At 39.0% G+C, this 26,956-nt stretch overlaps 1 protein-coding gene across 2 annotated transcripts in view; it reads right to left on the bottom strand.

The window, feature by feature from the left end:
- CYP2C18 (cytochrome P450 family 2 subfamily C member 18) overlaps positions 1–26,043 on the bottom strand; it is a 52,462-nt gene extending 26,419 nt beyond the window's left edge. Inside the window, exons 1-5 of one of the 2 annotated variants that reach the window (NM_000772.3) lie at positions 25,785–26,043; positions 21,840–22,002; positions 21,498–21,647; positions 14,695–14,855; positions 2,812–2,988 (exon numbers count right to left, since the gene is read on the bottom strand). In NM_000772.3, the coding sequence (NP_000763.1) occupies positions 2,812–2,988; positions 14,695–14,855; positions 21,498–21,647; positions 21,840–22,002; positions 25,785–25,952 (819 nt within the window). In that variant the 5' untranslated portion in view covers positions 25,953–26,043. The remainder of the gene's footprint in view (positions 1–2,811; positions 2,989–14,694; positions 14,856–21,497; positions 21,648–21,839; positions 22,003–25,784) is intronic. The other variant, NM_001128925.2, reaches the window with a different exon arrangement.

The raw sequence follows: 26,956 nt of genomic DNA, 5'->3' as shown, positions 1-26,956 counted from the left end.
AAATTGACTCAGAGTGGATCTTAGACCTAAATGTAATAGTTAAAATTATAAAACCATTTGAAGAAAACTTGGGGTGAATCTTTGTGATATTGGACTAAGAAATCATTTCTTAAACGTGACAAAAAAATTGCAAGAAACCATGCAAATAAATAAATAAATTGGATTTCACAAAAACTAAAAACTTGTATTTCAAAAGACACTGTTAAGAAAGTGAAAGACACTTGACAAAATGGGAGAAAATATCTTTAATAACATCTGATATGGGACTTTTATCTAGAATATATAAAAACTTTTCCATCTCAATAATTTTAAAAATATAATAACCTAATTTAAAAACGGACAAAAGGTCTGAATATACTTTTATCCAAAGAGATACACAAATGACCAGTAAGCACAAGAGAAAATTATTTGATGTCAGGAAAATGCAAACCAAACCACATGGAACCACCTCAACCCCACTGGGATGGCTGGAATCAAAAAGATAAGAAACATTAGCAAGGTTGTGGAGAAAGTGGAATCCTCAAAACATTGTAGTGAGAATACGAAATGGTGCAGCAAATTTCATGCCTAGGTTTTCTTCTGAGAGTTTTATATTTTTAGCTCTTACATTTAGGTCTTTGATCCAGCCACGGTTTCTCCAAAGATTAAGCATACAGTTGCTGTATAATCCAGCAATTCTGCAGCCAAGTATATACCCAAGAGAAATAAAAACTTATCTATACACAAAAACTTGTACACAAATGTCCATACCAGCATTATTCATAACAGCCAAAACAGAAACAATCAAAACCAACAACTAATGAATGGAAATATAAAATATGATATAGCCACACCCAAATATTATTTGACCACATAAAGGAATGAGGTACTGATACATGCTATGTCAATGAACCTTGAAAACATTGTGCTAAGTGACAGAAGTCAGACAAACAAAGACCACATACTGTGTAATTTCATTTACATGAAATGTCTACAATAGCAAACCTATAGAGACAGACAGTATATTAGTGTTGACTAGAGCCACCCCAATACAGGGTGACTGTTAAGCATATGGTTGTCTTTTCAGGATGATGGAAATGTTCTGAAATTGGTTGTGGTGGTGGCTGCACAGCTCTGTGAAAAATACTAAAACTGTTGAATTGTATTTAAAATGTATGAGGGTACAATATGTGAATTAAACTCAATAAAAATGCTGTGAAAAATAAAATAAGCTAGATTCTAAATATTATAGTGAGGTCAAAGGAACAATGCACTTTTTAAATATAGTAATGAGGACATAGCCACTGGTCACTGAAACACCATAGACCTTACAATTCTCCTTAACCTGGAATTAATGGAGACAATTCATAGCATTAAGGAAACCCCCCTAAATGTGTACAAAAATGGAGAACTCATATAGTGTCATTTTTCTGGCAGTGTCCATATTTTAATGAGATTCTTAAATTAATTAGACCTCAGAACAATTGACCTAGCAGTAGAGAAGGTGGAGAGTACAAATAATTTGTTTCTTCCCTTCTCCAGTTTCCTCAAAGTATCTCATCTTCTTCACTTCACTCCATCTAGAACACATTATTCGAGCAGTCCTGCTAACATTCCATGGGCAATTTCATGGAAGTCACCTTCATCAGCATCTTTGACTCTGTCCCATTTTCACCTACTGACTGATTCTGCATTTCCACCTAGTGCTGTAAAGCGGTTGAATAAAATAATGGTGGCTTCAGAGGAAAGATTTTATTCTCTAGAGTTAACTCTTTTCAGTTTGTTCTGGATTGGGCCTCTTCTCAGTTCAAAGAGTACTTTGCACCTTAGTGTCCTGAAGCATCTATATTACCTTCCTCACAGTTTCCATATTGACCCTACCACTATTCAAATTCACCATCTGAATCTTTCCCTCCTCAGTTAAAGTTATCAAAGAGAATGTCTGCTCTCATTACTGAAATTTCCCACACAGGTCCTATCATTTGGCTCCTATCTGATCCTCTAACTGAAACTAATATCCATAGATTTTTGGCAATATGACAAAATGGACAACTTGATTTTATTTCAGAATCTGTTTCTGTAGCCCACACTTTCAGCAAGCTGAACTTCAAATATATGAAATGTCTTGTAGCAAGTTTTTGACCTCCATTCTCATTGTACATATCCTTCTACACAATTCCTAGGATTATTTTCTCTAATAATTATACGCATCCCACTCTTGTTAGGGCTCACACATATACCTGATCACATCAAAACTCTCCATGCCAGCATTCAGGTCTGCAGCTTACAGACACCTCCAATTCCATATTTGTCCGGATTTACTTTTGGTTCCATTCAGTTAAGGCCTCCCTTTTCCATCTCTTTGCCACCACACACCTCTGAACCTGTCATCACACTGTTCTGCACACCAAAAAATTGACTGCCCCGTTATTCATTGTAAATATTTTAACATTTACACCAAACATCAGGACATGCAGGAGGCCCACTTAGGTTAAACCCTTTCACCTCACTCTCCCATATGCTGTGTGATATGACCATGTCCACCTTCAATTTATGATGCTATATTTTGCATTTTCTATCTTATTTGTATTTCCCTTTCATCTAAGGCATGCATTCTGTCTTTTCTCAGATAAATTCTTAGTACCTAACAATGGTGCTCACATATAATTGTTTAACAATTCAATTATAAATTCTCCATGGTGCTTCATCCAGATCTATACACATGGTAAGTACATAAAGTGCTCATGAAGTGTTTCTTGCCTCACTATTTAAGCAATCGTTATAGAACTAATCAATGAACCACAAGATGCAGGCAAACAAATAACATTTTACCTGTTCCATTTTGATCAGGAAACAATCAATAAAGTCCCGAGCACTGTTCATGTCCAGGGATTCTTGATGTTCTTTTATTCTCTCCAATACATAACTTTTAATGTAAGCAAAATTTTCAGCTATTTTATTATGACTTCCTGGGAGATAATCGATGAGAGCAGGGAAATTATTGCAGACCTTAAAGATTTTTAAAAATTAATTAAATTAAACACATGTATTGAAGACATATGCCATAAGTCAACTGCTGGTTTAAAACTGGAGTGAATTTTTAAAAATTATCTCCCTCTGTAAGAGGAGCATTTGATTATACGTACAAAGTAGTCCTCTATACTGATAGAAAGATTTAAGTTAGAAAATTCTGAACAAGGGATCAAAGATGATAATTTTCTATACTCATATATTATTTTCAGAATATTAAAATAGCTTCATGTCAATTATCTCATTTTTGTACATTAATTCTTCTCCATAGCCTTGAAATATAGAATGCCATGAATTGCTTTAATTCCCATTTTACAGATAAGAACAGAGGGTAAGGAAATTTGAACAACATGAAATAGATCACAAAGCCATTCCCTGCTATTTCTACTCCTAGCAGGAAGCCTCAGAAATAGAATCACTCTTTTATAACTGGGAGGGGTACAAAGATACCATAAAATGTAACTCAGCATTTTATGGATAAGTACCCATACACCAGAGTAGTTAAGATACTTCCGTGAGTAGTTGAGATAATCACACAATTATCCTTTAGACAGAGTTCAGGACATGCTAGCTCAGCACAGCCAAAACTGTAATTTTTTAATGGTTCATACACCCCAAAATCCAATCATTTTGTCATCTTAACCTTAATTACCTTGCTGAAGCAGCAAACACCCCTATCCTATTCAGAACTTCCTGGTAGCATCTGTTCTCCAAAACCTCCTCCCCTTTTGCCAAATAATGTGATGAAGAGGTCTCTAGGTGTGAATTAGAGGAAAAGCCTGTGAGTAATGCCAGCTTTTCAACAAGGGACTTGGATTTCCATTGAGTGTGTGCTTTTGGGCAGTCACCAAAGTACTGCCAGAAACTGGATTTGGGGGTTTGGTGGGAAAAACCACCAGCTAATGGGCTTGAATTCCAGCTCTATATTCAGGCATTTCTTTTCTCATCTGTAAAATAAAGAAATCATCTATCTTTCCCAGATGTTAATGCCACAATGCTAAGATATGGGCAAGCTGTAGTGTTCAACCACTCACTTCACAGAATAATGCCCGCAAAATTGGCACAATAGACAGTTCCATGGGCCCATCTCTCCATAAAAACACCCAAAAATTCAAACAAAAAAGTCAGAATCAACTCTAACAGAACTCTGGAAATCAGTCAAAGGTTTATAGCAAACAAGGGAGAACTGAATAAAAAAAATGGCAACTTAAAAACAGTAGAAAAGCTTTGTGGGTTTTTATTTTTATTTTAAGCTCCAAGGTGCACGTGCAGGATGTGCAGGTTTGTTACATAGGTAAATGTGTGCCATGGTGGTTTACTGCACCTATAAACTCTTCACCTAGGTATTAAGCCCCGCACACATTAGCTATTTTTCCTAATGCTCTCCCTCCACCAACACCCCGGACAGGCCCTAGTGTGTGTTGTTCCCCTCCCTGGGTCCATGTGTTCTCCTTGTTCAGCTCCCACTTATGAATGAGAACATGTGGTGCTTGGTTTTCTGCTCCTGCATTAGTTTGCTGATGATAATGGCTTCCAGCTCCATCTGTGTCCCTGCAAAGGACATAATCTCATTCCTTTTTATGGCTACATAGTATTCCATGATGCATATGTAAGCTTTGTGGTATGTTTATTTGCACTTGTACCACCTCCCTCATCAGCTTGGCAGTGATCTTGTCAAGGGCAGCCCTGCTCGCAGTGGAAGGCCCTGGTTCCTATTTACAGAGGGACCACAGAAGACCTTACTTGCAAAAAATTATGTTTCTCTTTCTCACCTGTCTGAGGACTAACACGGGCTAACACGAGGCAGTCATCTTTGTTTCACCTGATTCAAAACTCACTCAGGATGGAAAAGCAATGGACATTTCTCAAAAATCTCCTAAGACAAATGAACAACCCAAAGCTACCTAGGGCAAACGATTATAGTTAAGGCACACAGTAGAGCACTAAAATCCTGAGAATAAAAGCTGGGAGACAGTTTCTTTGGAAAATGGGATGTTCAAAAGTGCCTATGTATACTAAGAAATTTAGAAAGTTATCAACATGCCCAGAGCGGGACAGGCTAGTTAGAAAAATGTGAGAAGATCCTGAACTTTCACCTCTGGCTGATATCCAGGCTCAACTTAAGCAGTAAGTGAAGGCTATGACAAGGAGTGCTCCAGCCAATCTGAAAGACCTTCCTTCCTTCCTTTCTTCCTTCATTCCTTTCCTCCTTCCTTCCTTTCCTTACTTCCTTCCATCTTTCTTCTGCTATTTATATATATAAATACATATATTTTTTCTATGTCTCTTTTTTGCCTCTCCACATTCAAGAAAATTTCTGTCAAAATTAGCTGAACATACGCTAAAGAAAAGACTTCAGAAACCACACATGACTTGCAAAAATAGTTTTGAAAAGTCACTAAAGGAAGCTATAGCCTTCAGAAGAAAAAAAATAAAAACTATAGCAGGCAACAAAACACCCTAAAGAGAGGAAAGACTCTGATTTCCAGAGCTACTATATAAGAGTATCCAAAATTTCCAGTTTTCAAACATTCACTTCACAGCTTGGTACATACAAAGTTCTGGACTGGGATTGGGGCAAGATGGCCAAATAAGAACAGCTCCAGTCTGTGGTTCCCAACGAGACCAATGCAGAAGGCCCGTGATTTCTGCATTTCCAACTGAGGTGCCCGGTTCATCTCACTGGGACTAGTTAGACAGTGGGTGCAGCCCACGGATGGCAAACAGAAGCAGGGTAGGGAATTGGCTCACCCAGGAAGCACAACGGGTTGGGGAACTCCCTCCCCTAGCCAAGGGAAGCCATGAGGGACAGTGCTATCCAGCCCAGATACTACAATTTTCCCACGGTCTTCGCAACCTGTCGCAACCCACAAACTAGGAGATTCCTTCAGATGCCTACACCACAAGGGCCCTGGGTTTCAAGCACAAAACTGGGTGGCCACTTGGCCAGACACCAAGCTAGCTACAAAAGTCTTTTTTTCATACCCCAGTGGCACCTGAATTCCAGTGAGACAGAACCATTCACTCCCCTGGAAAGGGGGCTGAAGCCAGGGAGCCAAGTGGTCTAGCTCACAGGATCCCACCCTCATGGGGCCCAGCAAGCTAAGATCCACTAGCTTGAAATTCTCACTGCCAGCACAGCAGTCTGAAGTCGACCTCGGATGCTCAAGCTTGATGGGAGGGAGGGGAGTCCACCATTACTGAGGTGTGAGTAGGCGGTTTTCCCCTCACAGTGTAAACAAAACCTCTGGGAAGATGAGTCTGGGCAGTGCCCACCGCAGCACCACAAAGCCCCTGTAGCCAGACTGTCTCTCTAGACTCCTCCTCTCTGGGCATGGCATCTGTGAAATAAAGGCAGCAGCCCCAGTAGGGGACTATAGATAAAACCACCTCTTCCTAGGACAGAGCACCTGGAGGAAGGGGTGGCTGTGGGCCCAGCTTCAGCAGACTTAAACGTTTCTGCCTGATGGCCCTGAAGAGAGCAGCAGATCTCCCAGCCTAGCCCTCAAGCTCTGCTAAGGGACAGACTGCCTCCTCAAGTGGGTCCCTGACCCCTGAGCCTCCTGAGAGGGAGACACCTCCCAGCACGGTTTGACAGATATGTCATACAGGAGAACTCTGGGTGGCATCTGGCTGGTGCCCCACCAGGATGAAGCTTCCAGAGGAAGGAGCAGGCAGCAATCTTTGCTGTTCTGCAGCCGCTGCTGGTGATACCCAGGCAAACAGGGTCTGGAGTGGACCCCCAGCAAACTCCAGCAGACCTGCAGAAGAGGGGCCTGACTGTTAGGAGGAAAACTAACAAACAGAAAGCAATAACATCAAAATCAACAAAATGGACGACCATGCAAAAACTCCATCCGAAGGTCACCAACAGCAAAGACCAAAGGTAGATAAATCCATGAAGATGAGGAAAAACCAGCACAAAAAGACTAAAAATTCCAAAAACCAGAATGCCTCTTCTCCTCCAAAGGATCACAACTCCTCAACAGCAAGGGAACAAAACTGGATGGAGAATGAGTTTGACAAACTGACAGAAGTAGGCTTCAGAAGATGTGTAATAACAAACTCCTCCAAGCTCAAGGAGTATGTTCTAACTCAATGCAAGGGAACTAAGAACCTTGATAAAAAGAGGAATTGCTAACTAGAATAACCAGTTTCAAGAAGAACATAAATGACCTGATGGAGTTGAAAAACAAAGCACAAGAACTTCATGAAGCATACACAACTATCAATAGCCAAATTGATCAAGCAGAAGAAAGGATAACAGACATTGAAGATCAACTTAATGAAATAAAGTGAGAATACAAGATTAGAGAAAAAAGAATGAAAAGGAGCGAACAAAGCCTCCAGGAAATATGGGACTAAGTGAAAAGACCAAACATATGTTTGATTGGTGTATCTGAAAGTGACGGGGAGAATGGAACCAAGTTGGAAAACACGCTTCAGGATACTATCCAGGAGAACTTCCCCAACCTAGCAAGACAGGCCAACATTCAAATTCAGGAAATACAGGAACATCACAAAGATACTCCTCGAGAATAGCAACCCCAAGACACACAATCATCATATGCACCAAGGTTGAAATGACGGAAAAAATATTGAGGGCAGCCAGAGAGAAAGGTTAGGTTGCCCACAAAGGGAAGCCCATTAGACTAACAGCAGATCTCTGTGCAGACACCAGACAAGCCAGAAGAGAGTGGGGGCCACTATTCAACATTTTTAAAGAAAAGAATTTTCAACCAAGAATTTCTTTTTTATTTTTTTTTTACCAGTGACATTGTTTTATGAAACAATTCTCAATACAGATTTACAGAAAGATTAATCCAAATTAAGCCTGTTTCTGTAATGCCACTGCCCAGTGAGTGCAATTTTTCATGAGGAAGACACTCTCTAAGCTATAGGCTTCAGACTTCTCCTAACTATCCTCTTCCTTCTCCTCTCCACCTCATTCTCTCTGCTGCTGTTTAGGTCAGGCTCATTCACTCCCAGCTTAGTGTGCTTTTCCCTTGGACAAGATGACAGAAAGTTGACCTGCCATCATAGTGTTTGAGTCCTTCCCAATCATGGGAAACTGGGAACAACTGTGTACACTCTGAGACTGTGTGGTAGAGGTGGAGAGGAATTTCTTTTTTTAATTATTTTTTATTATACTTTAAGTTTTAGGGTACATGTGCACAACGTGCAGGTTTGTTACATATGTATACATGTGCCATGTTGGTGTGCTGCACCCATTAACTCTTCATTTAACATTAGGTGTATCTCCTAATGCTATCCCTCCCCCTTTCCCCGCCCCACAACAGGCCCCAGTGTGTGATGTTCCCCTTCCCGTGTCCGTGTGTTCTCACTGTTCAATTCCCACCTATAAGTGAGAACATGCAGTGTTTGGTTTTTTGTCCTTGCGATAGTTTGCTGAGAATTATGGTTTCCAGCTTCATCCATGTCCTTACAAAGGACATGAACTCATCATTTTTTATGGCTGCATAGTATTCCATGGTGTATATGTGCCATATTTTCTTAATCCAATCTATCATTGTTGGATATTTGGTGTGGTTCCAAGTCTTTGCTATTGTGAATAATGCCACAATAAACATATGTGTGCATGTGTCTTTATAGTAGCATGTTTTATAATCCTTTGGGTATATACCCAGTAATGGGAAGGCTGGGTCAAATGGTACTTCTATTTCTAGATCACTGAGGAATCATCACACTGACTTCCACAATGGTTGAACTAGTTTACAGTCCCACCAACAGTGTAAAACTGTACCTATTTCTCCATATCCTCTCCAGCACCTGTTGTTTCCTGACTTTTTAATGATCACCATTCTAATTGGTGTGAGATGGTATCTCATTGTGGTTTGATTTGCATTTCTCTGATGGCCAGTGATGATGAGCATTTTTTCATGTGTCCTTTGGCTGCATAACTGTCTTCTTTTGAGAAGTGTCTGTTCATAACCTTTGCCCACTTTTTGATGGGGTTCTTTTTTTCTTGTAAATTAGTTTGAGTTCATTGTAGATTCTGGATATTAGCCTTTTGTCAGATGAGTAGATTGCAAAAATTTTCTCCCATTCTGTAGGTTGCCTGTTCACTCTGATGGTGGTTTGTTTTGCTGTGCAGAAGCTCTTTAGTTTAATTAGATCCATTTGTCAAATTTGGCTTTTGTTGCCATTGCTTTTGGTATTCCAGACATGAAGTCCTTGCCCATGCCTCTGTCCTGAATGGTATTGCCTAGGTTTTCTTCTACGGTTTTTATGGTTTTAGGTCTAACATTTAAGTATTGAATCCATCTTGAATTGTTCTATAAGGTGTAAGGAAGGCATCCAGTTTCAGCTTTCTACATATGGCTAGCCAGTTTTACCAGCACCATTTATTAAATAGGGAATCCTCTCCCCATTGCTTGTTTTTGTCAGGTTTGTCAAAGATCAGATGGTTGTAGATATGTGGCATTATTTCTGAGGGCTCTGTTCTGTTCCATTGGTCTATATCTCTGTTTTGGTAGCAGTACCATGCTGTTTTGCTTACTGTAGCCTTGTAGTATAGTTTGAAGTCAGGTAGTGTGATGCCTCCAGCTTTGTTCTTTCGGCTTAGGATTGACTTGGCAATGCGGGCTCTTTTTTGGTTCCATATGAACTTTAAAGTAGTTTTTTCCAATTCTGTGCAGAAAGTCATTGGTAGATTGATGGAAATGACATTGAATCTATAAATTACCTTGGGCAGTATGGCCGTCTTCATGATATTGATTCTTCCTACCCATGAGCAAGAAATGTTCCTCCATTTGTTTGTGTCCTCTTTTATTTCATTGAGGAGTGGTTTCTGGTTCTCCTTGAAGAGGTCCTTCACATCCCTTGGAAGTTGGATTCCTAGGTGTTTTATTCTCTTTGAAGCAATTTTGAATGGGAGTTCACTCATGATTTGGCTCTCTGTTTCTCTGTTATTGGTGTATAAGAATGCTTGTGAATTTTGCACATTTATTTTGTATCCTGAGACCTTGCTGAAGTTGCTTGTCAGCTTAAGGAGATTTTGGGCTGAGACAATGGGGTTTTCTAAATATACAATCATGTCATCTGCAAACAGGGAAAATTTTACTTCCTCCTTTACTAATTGAATATTTTTTATTTCCTTCTCCTGCCTGATTGCCCTGGCCAGAACCTCCAACACTAGTTGAATAGGAGTGATGAGAGAGGGCATCCCTGTCTTGTGCCTGTTTTCAAAGGGAATGCTTCCAGTTTGTGCCCATTCGGTATGATCAGCTTTGGGTTTGTCATAGATAGCTCTTATTATTTTCAGATACATCCCATCAATACCTAATTTATTGAAAGTTTTTAGCATGAAGGGTTGTTGAATTTTGTCAAAGGCCTTTTCTGCATCTATTGAGGTAATCATGTGGTTTTTGTCTTTGGTTCTATTTATATGCTGGATTACGTTTATTGATTTGTGTATGTTGAACCAGCCTTGCATCCCAGGGATGAAGCCCACTTCATCATAGTGGATAAGCTTTTTGATGTGCTGCTGGATTCGGTTTGCCAGTATTTTGTTGAGGATTTTTGCATCGATGTTCATCAGGGATATTGGTCTAAAGTTCTCTTTTTTTGTTGTGTCTCTGCCAGGCTTTGGTATCAGTATGATGCTGGCCTCACCAAATGCATTAGGGAGGATTCCCTCTTTTTCTATTGATTGGAATAGTTTCAGAAGGAATGGTACCAGCTCCTCCTTGTACCTATGATAGAATTCAGCTGTGAGTCCATCTGGTCCTGAACTTTTTTTGGTTGGTAAGTTATTAACTATTGCCTCAATTTCAGAGCCTGTTATTGGTCTATTCAGGGATTCAACTTCTTCCTGGTTTATTTTTGGGAGGGTGTATGTGTCGAGGAATTTATTCTTTTCTTCTAGATTTTCTAGTGTATTTGCATAGAGGTGTTTGTAGTATTCTCTGATGGTAGTTTGTGTTTCTGTGGGATTGGTGGTGATATCCCCTTTATCATTTTTTATTGCATCTAACTGATTCTTCTCTTTTCTTCTTTATTAGTCTTGCTAGTGGTCTATCAATTTTGTTGATCTTTTAAAAAAACCAGCTCCTGGATTCATTGATTTTTTGAAGGGTTTTTTGCATCTCTATCTCCTTCAGTTCTGCTCTGATCTTAGTTATTTCTTGCCTTCTGCTAGCTTTTGAATGTGTTTGCTCTTGCTTCTCTAGTTTTTTAAATTGTGATGTTAGCATGTCATTTTTAGATCTTTCCTGCTTTCTCTTGTGGGCATTTAGTGCTATACATTTCCCTCTACACACTGCTTTGAATATGTCCCAGAGATTCTGGTATGTTGTGTCTTTGTTCTCATTGGTTTCAAAGAACATTTTTATTTCTGCCTTCATTTCATTATGTACCAGTAGTCATTCAGGAGCAGTTTGTTCAGTTTCCATGTAGTTGAGGGGTTTTGAGTGAGTTTCTTAATCCTGAGTTCTAGTTTGATTGCACCATGGTCTGAGAGACAGTTTGTTATAATTTCTGTTCTCTTACATTTGCTGAGGAGTGCTTTACTTCCAACTATGTGGTCAATTTTGGAATAAGTGTGGTGTGGTGCTGAAAAGAATGTATATTCTGTTGATTTGGGGTGGAGAGTTCTGCAGATGTCTATTAGGTCTGCTTGGTGCAGAGCTGAGTTCAGTTCCTGGATATCCTTGTTAACCTTCTGTCTCCTTGATCTGTCTAATGTTGACAGTGGGGTGTTAAAGTCTCCCATTATTATTGTGTGGGAGTCTAAGTCTCTTCGTAGGTCTCTAAGGACTTGCTTTATGAATCTGGATGCTCCTGTATTGGGTGCATATATATTTAGGATCGTTAGCTCTTCTTGTTGAATTGATCCCTTTACCATTATGTAATGGCCTTGTTTGTCTCTTTTGATCTTTGTTGGTTTAAAGTCTGTTTTATCAGAGACTAGGATTGCAACCCCTGCCTTTCCTTGTTTTCCATTTGCTTGGTAGATCTTCCTCCATCCCTTTATTTTGAGCCTATGTATGTCTCTGTACATGAGATTGTTCTCCTGAATACAGCACACTGATGGATCTTGACTCTTTATCCAATTTGCCAGTCTGTGTCTTTTAATTGGAGCATTTAACCCATTTACATTTAAGGTTAATATTGTTATGTGTGAATTTGATCCTGTCATTATGATGTTAGTTGGTTATTTTGCTCGTTAGTTGATGCAGTTTCTTCCCAGCCTCGATGGTCTTTACAATTTGGTATGTTTTTGCAGTGGCTGGTACTGTTTGTTCCTTTCCATGTTTAGTGCTTCCTTCAGGAGCTCTTGTAGGGCAGGCGTGGTGGTGACAAAATCTCTCAGCATTTGCTTGTCTATAAATGATTTTATTTCTCCTTCACTTATGAAGCTTAGTTTGGCTGGATATGAAATTCTGGGTTGAAAATTCTTTTCTTTAAGAATGTTGAATATTGGCCCCCATTCTCTTCTAGCTTGTAGAGTTTCTGCTGAGAGATCAGCTGTTAGTCTGATGGGCTTCCCTTTGTGGGTAACCCAAGCTTTCTCTCTGGCTGCCCTTAACATTTTTTCCTTCATTTCAACTTCGGTGAATCTGACAATTATGTGTCTTGGAGTTGCTCTTCCCGAGGAGTATCTTTGTGGCATTCTCTGTATTTCCTGAATTTGAATATTGGCCTGCCTTGCTAGATTGGGGAAGTTCTCCTGGATAATATCGTGCAGAGTGTTTTCCAACTTGGTTCCATTCTCCCCGTCACTTTCAGGTACACCAATCAGACATAGATTTGGTCTTTTCACATAGTCCTATATTTCTTGGAGGCTTTGTTCATTTCTTCTTATTCTTTTTTTGCTAAACTTCTCTTCTCACTTCATTTCATTAATTTGATCTTCCACCACTGATACCCTTTCTTCCAGTTGATCAAATCGGCTACTGAGGCTTGTGCATTCATCACATAATTCTCGGGCCGTGGTTTTCAGCTCCATCAGGTCCTTTAAGGACTTTTCTGCATTGGTTATTCTAGTTAGCCATTCATCTAATTTTTTTTCAAGGTTTTTAACTTCTTTGCCATGGGTTTGAACTTCCTGCTTTAGCTTGGAGTAGTTTGATCGTCTGAAGTCTTCTTCTCTCAACTCGTCAAAGTCATTCTCTGTCCAGCTTTGTTCTGTTGCTGGTGAGGAGCTGCATTCCTTTGGGGGAGGAGAGGCACTCTGATTTTTAGAGTTTCCAGTTTTTCGGCTCTGTTTTTTCCCCATCTTTGTGGTTTTATCTACCTTTGGTCTTTGATGATGGTGACGTACAGATGGGGTTTTGGTGTGGATGTCCTTTCTATTTGTTAGTTTTCCTTCTAACAGTCAAGACCCTCAGCTGCAGGTCTGTTGGAGTTTGCTGGAGATCCACTCCAGACCTGTTTGCCCAGGTATCAGCAGCAGAGGTTGCAGAATAGCAGATATTGGTGAACAGCAAATGTTGCTACCTGATCGTTCCTCTGGAAGTTTTGTCTCAGAGGAGTACCCAGCCATGTGAGGTGTCAGTCTGCCCCTACTGGGGTGTGCCTCCCAGTTAGGCTACTGGGGGGTCAGGGACCCACTTAAGACGCAGTCTGTCCGTTCTCAGATCTCCAGCTGTGTGCTGGGAGAACCACTACTCTCTTCAAAGCTGTCAGACAGGGACATTTAAGTCTGCAGAGTTTTCTGCTGCCTTTTGTTTGGCTATGCCCTGCCCCCAGAGGTGGAGTCTACAGAGGCAGGCAGGCCTCCTTGAGCTGCGGTGGGCTCCACCCAGTTCCAGCTTCCCGGCCACTTTGTTTACCTACTCAAGCCTCAGTAATGGCAGGCCCCCCTCCCCCAGCCTCATTGCCATCTTGCAGTTTGATCTCAGACTGCTGTGCTATCAATGAGTGAGGTTTCATGGGTGTAGGACCCTCTGAGCTATGCAAAGGATATAATCTCCTGGTGTGCCATTTGCTAAGATCATTGGAAAAGCACCATATTAGGGTGGGAGTGACCCGATTTTCCAGGTGCCATCTGTCACCCCTTTCTTTGACTAGGAAAGGGAATTCCCTGACCCCTTGTGCTTCCCGGGTGAGGCAATGCCTCACCCTGCTTTGGCTCATGCTCATTGTGCTGCACCCACTGTCCTGTACCCACTGTTTGACACTGCCTAGTGAGATGAACCCAGTACCTCAGTTGGAAATGCAGAAATCATCTGTCTTCTGCCTCAACCCAGCATTTCACATCCAGCCAAACTAAGCTTCATAAGTGAAGGGGAAATAAAATCCTTTACAGACAAGCAAATGCTGAGAGAGTTCATGTCCTTGGCCGGGACATGGATGAAGCTGGAAACCATCATTCTCAGCAAACTAACACAGGAACAGAAAACCAAACACTGCATGTTTTCACTCTTAAGTGGGAGGTGAACAATGAGAACACATGGGCACAGGGAGGGGAACATCACACACCAGGGCCTGTTGGGTGATTGGGGGTAAAGGGAGGGATAGCATTAGGAGAAATACCTAATATAGATGACGGGTTAATGGGTGCAGCAAACCACCATGGCACATGTATACCCATGTGACAAACCTGCCCATTCTGCACACATATCCCAGAACTTAAAGTATAATTTTAAAAAATTAAAAAAATTGGACTGTCTGATAAAATAACAAAAATAATATCTCAGGAAGAGAAGCTCTTGATCTCACCTGGATCCATGGAGAGCTCAGAATCCTGAGGTTTTCATTGAATTTTTCCATCAAGTTAAGAAACCTCTGATCTTTATAATCAAATCGATCATGGAAAATAACAGAGCAGATCACATTGCAGGGAGCACAGCCCAGGATGAAAGTGGGATCACAGGGTGAGGCTAAAGGATTGGAAATATTTTAAATTACCATTAAAATATACATATAAAATACTTTGTCTTTGATACAGGAAAAAGTATTTTTAGAAACTCTAAACCAATACCTACCTAGAAATTCTCTTATCAACACAAACTACAGCATATTGAAATTTAATACCTCACTTTTTCCTTAAAACTGAATTAATCATTCCACCCTAGCTTGTTTAATAATGGTTTTCCAAATACTGCATTTACCGCACTGCCTTTCTTTACACAATTCTGACCCAAGATGCCTGTTATTTTGAAGAGAAAACAAAAAAAATTAAAGAGGCCACATTTAAAACCACCTAATAATTCAGGTCATCAGTGCAAAATAACATCTGTCTGAAAAGCTTGTAGACAATTGATTGATAGAGGAAGGGAGAAAATAGGAACCAGAAAACATCTTCTATATAACGAGTAGTTAAAGTAACTGTGTGTAGTACCAGCAGAGGGGGAGACTAAAGACAGAAAGGGTATGGGAAAATTCAGGTTGATGGAACAAATGTAAACAGGCAAAAGTCATCTATGTTATACAAGAAAAAATCTAACACAAATTAACACAAATAAGAAGATAGATTGGTTTGCCTAAAATAAAAGTAATAAGAAACTTTCATTTCAAACCTAAACTACAAATAGAGCAGACAGAAAAAGTTAAATTGACAGATGGAGTCCTTTTATTTCCTTATTTCAATATTCAAAGAAAAAAAAGGAATTTCCTGCTCTAAGAAATGGTGTCTATTATCACCAGGCACTATCTTCAATTTATTTGAACAAAGCCTGACCTCTTATAGAATCCTCGGTTATTGTTCTATCTAGCCATCAAAAAAATACCTTATGTTATTATAAACTTTTTAATTTGATCATCATTTAGGTAATTCCATCATATTACAAATCAATAAATTACTATAGAGGAAAGCTGATTTTCAGCTTGGATTACAAATTACCCTGATTTTTATTATCTCCCTGATACAGTTTGGATGTGTGTTCCCTTCAAATCTCATACTGAAATGTAAGGGCAATAAGAGGAAAGGGCAATTTTTAAATAAAATTGTTATAATCAAATCATCAATGAACTTTACATGTGAGAGTATCATGAATGTAATTAAGAGTGACTTGAACAAAAATGTTGTGCGGTAATGATGGGGAATTAAATAATGGGACCCTGTTTAGTTAACTGCTCCTATGCCAGGCTTCTTTTCAGCTGAAACATGCCAAGGGATGAAGTTTTCAGAAAATCTTTTATTTTAGCCTGGAAGGCAGGGGATAATTTTGGATTATTAGTTAGAGATTTCTGTGTGTGTGTGCATGCATGCATGCAAGTGTGTTTGTGCATGCATATGAACATGATGTAGTGAAAATCTGGTTTCTGGTCTTTCCTTTCACTTCATGTGGGGAAGTATATTAGGCTGTTCTTGCATTGCTATAAAGAAATACCTGAGACTAGGTAATTTATAAGAAAAGAGGTTTAATTGGCTCCTAGTTCTGCAGGCTGTACAGGAAGCGTGATGCAATCACGGCAGAAGGCAAAACAGGAGCTTTCACTCACATGGCAAAAGTCAAAGCAAAAAAGGGAGGTGGGAGGTGCTACACACTTTAGATTTCATGAAAACTCACTTGCTATCATGAGGACAGTACCAAAAGGGATGGTACTAAACTATTCATGAAAAATCCACCCCCATGATCCAATCACCTCTCACAAGGCCCCACCTCCAATATGGGGGATTACACTTTTTTTTATATACTTTAAATTTTAGGGTACATGTGCACAACGTGCAGGTTTGTTACATATGTATACGTGTGCCATGTTGGTGTGCTGCACCCATTAACTCGTCATTTAGCATTAGATATATCTCCTAATGCTATCCCTCCCCCCTTCCCCCACCCCACAACAGGCCCTGGTGTGTGATGTTCCCCTTCCTGTGTCCATGTGTTCTCATTGTTCAATTCCCACCTATGAGTGAGAACATGTGATGTTTGGTCTTGCGATAGTTTGCTCAGAATGATGGTTTCCAGCTTCATTCATGTCCTTACAAAGGACATGAACTCATCATTTTTTATGGCTGCATAGTATTCCATGGTGTATATGTGCCACATTTTCTTAATCCAGTCTATCGTTGTTGGACACTTGGGTTGGTTCCAAGTCTTTGTTATTGTGAATAGTGCCGCAATAAACATACCTGTGCATGTGTCTTTATAGCAGCATAATTTATAATCCTTTGGGTATATACCCAGTAATGGGATGGCTGGGTCATATGGCATTTCTAGTTCTAGATCCCTGAGGAATCGCCACACTGACTTCCACAATGGTTAAACTAGTTTACAGTCCCACCAACAGTGTAAAAGTGTTCCTATTTCTCCACATCCTCTCCAGCACCTGTTGCTTCCTGACTTTTTAATGATCGCCATTCTAACTGGTGTGAGATGATATCTCATTGTGGTTTTGATTTGCATTTCTCTGATGGCCAGTGATGATGAGCATTTTTCATGTGTTTTTGGCTGCATAAATGTCTTCTTTTGAGAATTGTCTGCTCATATCCTTTGCCCACTTTTTGATGGGGATCTTTTTTTTTTCTTGTAAATTTGTTTGAGTTCATTGTGATTCTGGATATTAGCCCTTTGTCAGATGAGTAGGTTGCAAAATTTTTCTCCCATTCAGTAGGTTGCTTGTTCATTCTCATGGTGGTTTCTTTTGCTGTGCAGAAGCTCTTTAGTTTAATTAGATCCCATTTGTCAATTTTGGCTTTTGTTGCCATTGTTTTTGGTGTTTTAGACATGAAGTCCTTGCCCATGCCTATGTCCTAAATGGTATTGCCTAGGTTTTCTTCTAGGATTTTTATGGTTTTACGTCTAACATTTAAGTCTTTAATCCATCTTGAATTAATTTTTGTATCAAGTGTAAGGAAGGGATCCAGTTTCAGCTTTCTACATATGGCTAGCCAGTTTTCCCAGCACCATTTATTAAATAGGGAATCCTTTCCCCATTGCTTGTTTTTGTCAGGTTTGACAAAGATCAGATAGTTGTAGATATGCAGCATTACTTCTGAGGGCTCTGTTCTGTTCCATTGGTCTATATCTCTGTTTTGGTACCAGTACCATGCTGTTTTGGTTACTGTAGCCTTGTAGTATAGTTTGAAGTCAGGTGGTGTGATGCCTCCAGCTTTGTTCTTTTGGCTTAGGATTGACTTGGCAATGCGGGCTCTTTTTTGGTTCCATATGAACTTTAAAGTAGTTTTTTCCAATTCTGTGAAGAAAGTCATTGTTAGCTTGATGGGGATGACATTGAATCTATAAATTACCTTGGGTGGTATGGCCATTTTCATGATATTCATTCTTCCTACCCATGAGCATGGAATGTTCTTCCATTTGTTTGTGTCCTCTTTTATTTCAGTGAGCAGTGGTTTGTAGTTCTCCTTGAAGAGGTCCTTCACATCCCTTGTAAGTTGGATTCCTAGGTATTTTATTCTCTTTGAAGCAATTGTGAATGGGAGTTCACTCATGATTTGGCTCTCTGTTTGTCTGCTATTGGTGTATAAGAATGCTTGTGAATTTTGCACATTTATTTTGTATCCTGAGACTTTACTGAAGTTGCTTATCAGCTTAAGGAGATTTTGGGCTGAGATGATGGGGTTTTCTAGATATACAATCATGTTATCTGCAAACAGCGAAAATTTGACTTCCTCTTTTCCTAATTGAATGCCCTTTATTTCCTTCTCCTGCCTGATTGCCCTGTCCAGAACTTCCGACACTATGTTGAACGGGAGTGGTGAGAGAGGGCATCCTTGTCTTGTGCCAGTTTTCAAAGGGAATGCTTCCAGTTTTTGTCCATTCAGTATGATATTGGCTGTGGGCTTGTCATAGATAGCTCTTATTATTTTGAGATACGTCCTATCAATACCTAATTTATTGAGTTTTTAGCATGAAGGGTTGTTGAATTTTGTCAAAGGCCTTTTCTGCATCTGTTGAGATAATCATGTGGTTTTTGTCTTTGGTTCTGTTTATATACTGGATTACTTTTATTGATTTTCATATGTTGGACCAGCCTTGCATCCCAGGGATGAAGCCTACTTGATTATGGTGGATAAGCTTTTTGTGTGTTGCTGGATTCAGTTTGCCAGTATTTTATTGAGGATTTTTGCATCAATGTTCACCAAGGATATTGGTCTAAAATTCTCTTTTTTTGTTGTGTCTCTGCCAGGCTTTGGTATCAGGATGATGCTGCCCTCATAAAATGAGTTAGAGAGGATTCCCTCTTTTTCTATTGATTGGAATAGTTTCAGAAGGAATGGTACCTTGTAGCTCTGATAGAATTCGGCTGTGAATCCATCTGGTCCTGGACTTTTTTTGGTTGGTAAGCTATTAATTATTGCCTCAATTTCAGAGACTGTTATTGGTCTATTCAGAGATTCAACTTCTTCCTGGTTTAGTCTTGGGAGAGTGTATGTGTCGAGAAATTTATCCATTTCTTCTAGATTTCCTAGTTTATTTGCATAGAGGTGTTTATAGTATTCTCTGTTGGTAGTTTGTTACATTTCAATATTAGATTTGAATGGGAACACACATCCAAACTATATCAGGGAGATAATAAAAATCAGGGTAATTTGTAATCCAAGCTGAAAACCAGACTCATTATGACAAGAACTTTATAGGTGAGTCCAACTTGGATGGGGAGAGGATAAATAAACTTTTACTCCCAAATCCAGTTGTTTTAAAATTCACCGAGGATTTTGTATCCATTTAGATATGGTGAGGTCAACCGATCAGGTTGCCCCAAAACAGACTTCCCTTGAAAAGATAGTTCATTACTCACGGTTCCTAAAGGAGGGGCACTCCACACCATGGAGTGCGGGGAGCCACATGGGGAAGTACCAGGGTTGGTCAGGAGGCAGCAAGAGCAAAAAGAAACCATGGGGCTGAGCCTTCATTGGGGTTTTCACAGGAAGAAATGAGTGAGATAGGGAGGGTAGACTGAGTAAGCCTGGGAATAGATAGTTTGAACAATTTCTGTGGGCTCTGGGATATAGGGGTGGCCATAGTTGTCCCATAACTGGCCCTATAATAATTTAAGACAAGGAGAATATAGTCAGCACTCTGTATCCATGGTGTATCATGGATTCAACCAACCCCAAATAAAAAATATTCAGAGCAAAAACAAGCATCTGTACAGAACATGTACGGACCTTTTTTCTTGTCAATATTCTCTAATATTGGGAAATATTATAAATAATATTGTCAATATTCTCCAATATATGGCAAATATTATGCCATATCTAAGGGACTTGAGCATATGTGGATTTTGGTATCCAAGAGGAGTCCTAGAACCAATGCCTTACTGATAAGGAGGGACAACTGTATTGGATTCATGTGTGAGAGTTTGGTAAAGAAGGTGGATGGGACTCTGGCTCTGGAGAGTGTGCTTTGTAAATCAGAGACATGCTGTGGACAAGACATTTGCTATCTCTAGGAACTGTCTGACTTTGGGAGCAGCAGTCCCTTCTAGGACCACAAAATCCCCAAGATGTTGAAGATTTCATAAAAATATAGAAAATAAAAAACATGATTAATACACAAGTAAAGATGAAGGAAAATATAAAGAAAGCTGAATACAGAGCTAATGGACAACTAGGGAAGGTAGGATAAAGAGTTATTAATAATACTTAAAATTTATTTAAATAAACATTTTATAACTTGGCATTTGTTTAAATTGAAAGACTATGCTATAGCATATATTTTCTTAAAATATATAAAACATTACAGTAAATAGTAACATTAAATAACACCAGCTGATAATTTTAATTACTTCTTAATTAACAGGGAAATTAAAATTGATAAAAGCTACACTAAAGATGCCTAGTCTCTTAAAACCATAGATAAGCATCATTATGGTAGAAATTGTAGACACAGACCTTAGAATAAACCCCCAGACATGTTAGTGAGACTGACTGTACAAATATAGACCAAACAAATGAAAGTACATGTCAGTTGTTCCATGCCCAAAAGATGTAAAGAAGTCATTCCCACTATGTCTGTGCCACAAGTATTCCTGGTGAAATGTTCTAGAATAGATAACCCACAATTACACTTTGGGAAAAACATTGCTCTTTAATAATTTGAAAAAAATGAGACAAAACCTTCTAAATTCATGCTGTAATGATTTGAAAACAAACCAAGCCTGGGACACAATAGGATTAAATGAGCCTTTTATACTCACAGCGTATGCATAGTCATTGTGTACAAACACAACAAGCATAGGTGCACAAAACCTCCCTTGGCTCTCTGCTTCAAACCTCCACCCTCCATATGAGGACTGACAACCACTATCATGAAAGATCTGGCTGCCCCTAGGAGGTTTCCAGGGATGTCATTAGAGAACATAGCAGTGTGTTAATGTCAAAGTATTGCGTATTTCAAGATAGCTAGAACACAGGTCTGTTCTCAAAATATAGAAATGATAAATGCTCAAAGTGATGCATATCCTAAACACCTAACTTGATCATTACACATTCTGTGCATGTAACAAAATATTACATGTACCCCATAAATATGCATAAAAGTTATGTATCAATCTAAAAATAAATTAAAATAAATTTTAGAAAACATTTTTCAGGAAAAAAAAAAGTCACCCACCATTGGTTTTTCTCAACTCCTCCACAAGGCAGCGGGCTTCCTCTTGAACACGGTCCTCGATGCTCCTCTTCCCCATCCCAAAATTCCGCAGAGTCATGAGGCAGAAACGCCGGATCTCCTTCCATCTCTTTCCATTGCTGAAAAGGATTCCTAGCAGAACAGAAAACAGAAGCTACGAGGGAGAATCCAAACAAGGACAAGAGAGCTGACACTCGGCAGCCACGTGGACAGGTCAAGTTCTGTCCCAGGAGCTCTTCAAGCCTGTTTTCCATCCTCCCCATCCCTATAGCCACTGCCCAGTACATACACATGTACACATACACACGATACATGCACATTTACCAAGTCCTTTGTTAACTTTTTCAGCCACTGGAAAACTTCCTCTTCCAGAAAACTCCTCTCCATGATCAATCAGGGCCTCCTTCACTGCTTCATATCCATGCAACACCACAATGGGCTTCAGGCCAAAATACACAGTGAACACAGGGCCATAGACTTTTGAGAACTAAACATAGAAAAGGAGGTTCAAATAGTAGCAAAACTCAGTATTTGGTCTATATATTGTCCGTGATTCAGACTGATATTATCATCATAATGTTGTTATGATTATTCTGTCAAATACAGCTTCAAATATTTGTATATTTTAGACAAAGATGATGATTATTGTTTTAGCTGCACATATACAGTGCCTTCAATGTGCCAAGCAAGTAGTATGCAGGCTATTAAACTTAATCATCACATCAACACCTTGTTTACTCTATTTTACAGATAAGACAGATTGTATTTTAAAGAATTTCAAATTCACTGCCAGTGTCCCACAGCTGATAAACAGAAGGTCCAAATTTGAAGCCTGCTTAGTCAAGCTGTGAGCCTGAGCAGTTTATCAGTTCCTAATGTCCATATTTTGACCAATAATCAGCTGCTGGGACACTGCTTCAGGATCTCCTGCAAAGCTCATCCCATAGGGATCCTGATGCAGGAGTCCTGTCATCAATACTAAAAAATCTACACCTTTTTAAATCACCCAAATGATTCTACTGCCCAGCCCACTTTGAGATCCACTGGTATAATCACCACAGAAGGAGAGTGGATCCAACAGAGATAGTATCAGGATGTGTGGCATCTCACAGAGGAAAAATGTTTTCCATGCTATACACTCATAGGTCACAGACAGCAGCTTTGTACAGAGGCCATAAATATTCTGTTACCACCCAGATGGCCCTGACTAATTAATTCTTTCTTTCATTCGTTTATGTTTATGATGAACTCATAGATATTTCTTTGACATCAGGCATGATTTGCTTTTTTAAGACGTTTAATGATCATGGCTAATCTAAGCAAAATACATAGCATATACAGTGACTGACTTCTCAAAATCTTTAATCACAAAACACTTCCACTACCATTTTCCTTCAGGCAAAAAAATATAGCAAATGACTGTGAAGCAAAGAAAGCAGCAGGCCTTTATCATTTTGATTCTACCTTACCACTTGAAATGTTTCTCTTCTGGCAAAATGCATTATTTTATTCCACTATTTCTGACAATGACAAAAAAGAAAAACATACTCCACAGGAAGTATTTGCTTTACAATAGCATACTTTAATAATCAGCCTCTGCTGGTACAGGAGGAATGCTGAGGAATGTTCCTATAACATATAACCTTTAATAACTGGCCTCCAGTAATACAGAAGTTTCTATGTGACATTAACGGTTATATGTGGCAAGCCCACAGCTAACATCATATTTAATGGTGAAAAGCTAAAAGCTTTTCCTCTAAGATCAGAAATAAGAGAAGAATGCCCCCTCTGACCATTTCTGTTCAACAGAGTACTGGAAGTCCTAGTCAGAGCAATTAGACTAAAGACAGAAAATATTCATATAGGAATATTCGTATAGGAAAGGATGTATTCATGTAGGAAAGGATGAAGTGAAATTGTCTGTTTCCTGATGAAATAATCTTATATGTAGAAAATCTAAAGACTTCAGTACAAAAGTGCTAGAACTGATAAACAAATTCAGTAAACTTGAAGGATAAAAAATCAACATGCAAAAATCAGTGGCATTTTTATACACTAGCAACAAAATATCTAAAAAAGAAATTAAGAGAACAATTAATTTATAGTAGCATCAAAAAATAAAATACTTATGAATAAATTTAATCAAGGAAGAGAAAGATCTATATACTGAAAACTACAAATCATTGATGAAAGAAATTGAAGATGACACAAATAAAGGCAAAGATATCCCATGTTCATGGATTGGAAAAACTAATAGTGGAAAAATGTCCATATTACCCAAAGCAATATACAGATTCAGTGCAATCCCTATCAAAATTTTAATCTCATTCTTCACAGAAATAGAAAAAAAATCTTAAAATTTGTATGGAACCACAAAAGACCCCAAATAACTAAAGCAAATTAATCAAAAAGAATAAAGCTGGAGGCATCACACCACTGAACTGCAAAATATGTTACAAAGCTATAGTAAGCAAAACTGCATAGCATTAGCATAAAAATAGACACACTGATTAAAGGAAAAGCGTAGAGAACCCTGAAATAAGCCCACACATCTATAATCAATTGATTTTTGACAAAGGTGCCAAGAACATACAATGGGGAAAGCACTCTTCAGCAAAAGGTGTTGGGAAAACTGGATATTCATATGCAAAGAATAAAAGAGAATCCTAATCTCACCCTTATACAAGAATTAACTCAAAATGAATTAAAGCCTTAAGCATAAGACCTGAAACTAAAAACTACTGAAAGAAACCATATAGAAAAACTCCATGACATTGGTCTAGGCAATGATTTCTTGGATATGATCCTAAAAGTACAGGCCATGAAAGCAAAACTAGACAAATGAGATTCTGACCACCCAAAATACTTAGAAACTCAAATTACTCAATAACAAATAAATAATTCTATTTAAAACGAGCAAAGGGGTCAAGTGCAATGGCTCATGTCTGTAATTCCAGCACTTTGAGAGACAAAGGTGGGTGGATTGCTTGAGCCCAAGAGTTCAAGACCAGCCTGGACAACATAATGAGACCACATCTCTACAAAGCATTAAAAAATTATCCAGGCATGGTGGCATACACCTGTAGCCCCAGCTACTTGGGGGTCTAAGGTAGAAGGATGGCTTGAGCCCAGGAGCTCAAGGCTGCAGGGACCATGATCCCATCACTACACTCCATCCTACAACAGAGCAAAACCCTGTCTCTATTAATTAATTAATTAATTAATTAATTAAATGGGCAAAGGATTTGAGTAGACATTTTTCAAAAAAAGACATACAAATGGCCAAGATATATTTTTTAAATACTCAACAAATTTAATCATCAGAGAAATGCAAATTAAAACCACAATGAGATAACTCATCACAACTCATAGATAAGATATTATTATTATCAAAAAGATAAAAAGATAACAAGTGTTGACAAAGATGTGGAATAAAGTGAACCTTGGGTATGTAAATTAGCATTGTGATTTGAGAAAACAGTATGGATGTTCCTAAAAAAAACAAAAATAGAACTATCAGATGATCCAGCAATCCCACTACCAGTATATACCCAAAGGAATTGAAGTCAGTATGTGGAAGACATGTCTGTACTTCCATGTTTATTGCAGTGCTATTGACAATAGCCAAGATATGGAAACAACCTAAGTGTTCATCAATAAATTAATGGATTTTGTATGTGACATATATGTACAATGAAATGCTATTCAGCCTTTTAAAGAGGAAAAAATATTCTTATTTATGACGGCATGGATGAATCTACAGAACATCATATTAATTAAATAAGCCAGGCAGAGAGAGGCAAATATCATATATGATCTCACTTCTATGTGGAATCTTAAAAAGTTAAACTCAGAGAAGTAGAGATTAGAATGGTGGCTACCAGAGGCTGGCAGGTGGAGATGGGCCAAATAAGGGGATACGTTGGTCAACAGGTACAGAGTTACACTTAGATAGGAGGAATAAGCTCGGGTGTTCTATTGGACAGCAAGGTGACTATAATTAATATTAATGTACTGTATATTTCAAAACAGCTAAAAAAGAGGATTTTAAATGTTCTCACTACAAAGAAATGACAAATATTTGAGATGATGGATATGCTAATTACCCTGATATGATCAATTCACAATCTATACATGTATCAAAATGTAATATTGTACCCCATTAATATATACAATTATCATTTATCACTTTAAAATGAAATAAAACTTTAAGAATTGTGAGGTTAAATACACCTTGTACATTACTGGAGGAACATAAAGCATACTTACATTGGTTAAGGATTTGCTCATGTCCTTAACATCTAACTGCAGGATATTTCCAATAATCGGGAGAGGAGTGGGGCCAGACGGGAGCCTCCCTCTTCCAGAGCTCTGCCTCCAGAGTGAAAGGAGAAACAAACAGGAGAGACAGAGCACCAGAGCCACAGCTGGATCCATTGAAGGCTTCTCTTCTTAGTAAGACAACTGCGGGCTTTCACTTCAAGGCTTTTATAACACTCCCTACTAATCCACCTGTGATTCTGACTCTGACTGTGACTAGTCAGCAAAAAGCACTTTAATCTCTCTTTTGAATGAACATTGGCTCACTGAAGAAGATAAAAATAAGGTGTTCTTTTTTCTTGTTCTTTCCGGTGCCCCACCCTGGAGATTCTGGTTTAACTAGTCTGAAGCAGAGCCCAGGATTTTGTTGTTGTTGTTGTTGTTTTTCCTTGAGATGGAGTTTCGCTCTTGTTGCCCAGGCTGGAGTGCAATGGCAAGATCTCAACTCACTGCAGCCTCCACTTCCTGGATTCGAACGATTCTGCCTCAGCTTCTGGCGTGGCTGGGATTACAGGAATGCACAACTACGCCCAGGTGATTTTGTATTTTTAGCAGAGACAGGGTTTCACCATGTTGGCCAGGCTGGTCTCCCTAAGTGCTGGGATTACAGGCATGAGCCACCGTGCCTGGCTAGGCCTAGGTTTTTTCAAACAGCCCAGGTGGTTCCACTGTGCAGCCAAAATTGAGAAACAATGAAATAAATTATTTCATCAAAAAATTATTCAAAATTTTGGATTTTTAGATTGATGAGCAGTTGGAAATATGACTTTGAGGGCAATCTGTGTATTATATTCCTTGTACATAAAATAATGTTTATCCTATTGAGAGGAGTTAGCCAGCTTGCATTAGGCAGGCAGTAAGGGAAGGGTCCCCAGAGAACCTCCAACCCTTCCAGGTCATTGCCCAATCCACAAAAACCCCAAGTACTTACACTAGATGTTTTGTGCAGATAAGGGAACTTGCACAGGGAGCTTGCCTAAATATGCCCACAGTGAAAAATTCCTACCTTTAACACATGCGCAGGAAGGGAAATAAATCAATATGGAGTGGCTTAGACTAAGAGCCCACACGCGCAATGGAAGGAAGGGGTGGAAACACCAGGAATTCACGCCTTATGCAAA

This window comes from Homo sapiens, chromosome 10 (genome assembly GCF_000001405.40).
Source record: "Homo sapiens chromosome 10, GRCh38.p14 Primary Assembly".
Lineage (NCBI taxonomy): Eukaryota > Metazoa > Chordata > Mammalia > Primates > Hominidae > Homo > Homo sapiens.
This window is presented reverse-complemented; position numbering and strand designations above follow the sequence as displayed.